The following is a 2,790-nucleotide window of genomic DNA, read 5'->3' on the forward strand; positions in this document are numbered from 1 at the left end:
AGTTAAATTCCAAGTCTATCCTAAATTTGCTAAAAAAACCCTGAATGTGATGCTTTTGTTTGAGAAAGTTGCATTCCCAAACAACGATGTACACATTTATGAGGTTTTCAATAAGGTTTTTCTTTCATTCTGCCTTTGGCAAACTAAGGACAAAAAAAAAAACAAAACAATGTGCATGCACGTAAACATACAATTAAATATGTGCAGTTTTAAGAGCTGTGATTTGTTTTATAATTTATATGTTCTTATAATATAATACAGATTATTATAATGGCATAGACTTCTCAGCTATGCTGATATTGAATGGTTTGTTGTTACCCTTATTTTGAATATTCCCACAGAGGAAAATAAAAGGTTGATAATAAATAAATATATTTTAGTTGTCTTCTACCTTTTCTTCCTTGATTCATTCATTATTACACTTATTTATTTAGAACCCATCACAGTTCCACATGACTGGATAAAGCAGTGAACAACAACAAAACAGTTTTCATGAAGCTAACATTCTAATATGATACTAAGTTCAAGTAATGCTAGTTCCTGTAATGGATAAATCCAAAATGGGTTAAACAAATGAAAGTTTATTTCTTGTTTATGTCACCATACAATGAACTTAACACCTAGATGGCCGATGAAGAAAGAGAACATGAGAAACCACAGCAGTCTCTTAGCTGCTTCGGGTAGAAAAGGGAAAATCACTTTTTCTTACATCCAGCGATGAGAACAAGTTTCAGAGCACCACTTAGGACTACGGGGAAATGTCACTTCTGACTTCACAACTGCTTCTACGCAAAATTACACCCTGTAGAGAGAAATACAGACTCATATCGTCAGCTAACTGTTATTACAACCGTCCCCCATGTCAAGGAACAAATACCTCTTTCACTTTTCTTCTCATATAACATCGTGTCCTCTCCCCAAAGATGACAACTCAAATCTTCTCTAATAACTGTATCCAATTTAAAGTCCAGGTCATGAAGAGTCATCTCCACAAGATCTGGATGTGGTTCTCTCAAGGAGGCAAACTGTAAGCTAAAACAGATAAATGTCTGCCCCTCCAACTCTGAATCTATAGGAGTAGAGCCGGGAAAATTAACCGTGGTTAAAACTAACGCAAGCAGGAGCAACATGACACTTGAAGAAAGAATCGGGGCCACGCAACACTTAGTACTTCATAACAACGATGCAGTCAGTTGCATGACATTGCGAAGATGACAGTTCTCCTATTTAGGCTAGATACAATTTTTTATTTTTGGTAGAAACTCCCTTATCCCCTTTACCTCGATATTCTTTGTTCTGCTATGCAGACAAGAGACAATTCTCCTTTGTGCTTTATTCTCCTTGGCAACATCTGAAGTCGAAGTAGGAACGTGTGCCTTTAGGAGGTGATGTAAACGTTTGCAGTCAGCTTTTAGCCTTTGCAAGTTTAATACTAGAGAGCTGTTTTATTCATGCTCAAAAATCAAAGGTTTATTTTTTACTAGGAAAAAAAGAGATAACTAGCATTCCACTTTCCAACATATTTCCTTAGACGTATGGCTTCAGAGAGTACATACTCAGCCTTAAATGTTGTGTCAGAAATTGTTGCAAGACTCTTCCTTAGTTCAGCTAAAAACGGGGTTCGTTGTTTCCTAGCCACGTAAATTCAGGCTCTCAGACATTTAAAGGGTGAGTGAAGCAGGATTTTATTGGGTGGAAAAGGGAAACATGGGGGAAACAAGGACTCTCCCATGGCCATAGTCTCTCCACTAGGGCATTTCCCACTCTGTAGTTTGAATCCCAGGTTCCACATAGGAAGAGGAGGAGCTAGGCTCCTCCCCGCTGCGAACAGCATGAATTTCCCAAGGCTCCACCCCAGTGGGCAGGCTGGTTGGAGTTTCTCTAGGGACCCCCTCCCACCTCGCTGTCTCAAAATGATTTTGTTTTATTTTCTATGCTGCCTACTAAGCCAATGACCTAGCTAACCTCTACTTAAAAAAACACGTTTCATTATAATTTTAGGTAATTCTAGGTGTAGTAACATACAAACTCTGAAATCTCGGCAACTTATAATTAACCTTTATTTTGTTCTTATGTCACCATCTACCAGAAATTCTCCTCATCAAGTGTCCTTCCTCCTGCCTATTTAAAAATACATAATTCCTTCATATTGTGAATCAGCGAGGCCTCAGAGTCCTCTTCATTAAATGACAGGTAGGAAAAATGCCTCTTGGGAGAGTACATGTGATTGTTAACTCAGAAGAAACACAGCACTTATTCTAAAATTTCCTTTGCTACTAGTAATCCTGTGGCTCCATTAAGATAGAATATGAAATTAGGAATGTAATCACATGCTCACATCCTCTTTCCAATAACTGTCTTATTTAATTAGAATGAAGTTTGTGTGTTTGAACAATTAGTTGCTTGATGCATGAGGAAAGACTCAAAAATTAAAAATAAAACTGGTGACACAATGTATCAAGTCATGGTATGTCCTATGAAGCAAAATAAAGCTGGTCAAATGGATAGTAAGTGATAATGAGGTGCAAGGACTGTTATTTTATGTGATAGGGTATAGAAACATGAAGGAATTCAGGAAGAAAGCGATCCATTTGGGTACTTGGGGAAATGACTTCCAGACAGAGATAACAGCTATTTCAAAAGCTTTAGGCAAGACATACTTAGAATTGTGCAGGACAAATAAGGACAGTGTACCAACGAAGTATGAAAAAAATTGATGTCAGAGAAGTATCTAGGTCTGTCAAATGTAGTATCTTGTAAGCCATGTTAATAATTTTGGAATTTGCTATG

The 2,790-nt window shown here is 37.3% G+C and overlaps 1 long non-coding RNA gene across 1 annotated transcript; it reads right to left on the reverse strand.

The window, feature by feature from the left end:
• Positions 1–561: 561 nt before the first annotated feature.
• Positions 562–1,513, reverse strand: LOC105370237 (uncharacterized). The gene is made up of 3 exons (XR_942025.3): positions 1,281–1,513; positions 878–1,032; positions 562–802 (listed from the first exon to the last, which is right to left on the reverse strand). It is a non-coding gene; the product is annotated as an uncharacterized LOC105370237 (long non-coding RNA).
• Positions 1,514–2,790: the final 1,277 nt, after the last annotated feature.

This window comes from Homo sapiens, chromosome 13 (assembly GCF_000001405.40).
Source record: "Homo sapiens chromosome 13, GRCh38.p14 Primary Assembly".
NCBI lineage: Eukaryota > Metazoa > Chordata > Mammalia > Primates > Hominidae > Homo > Homo sapiens.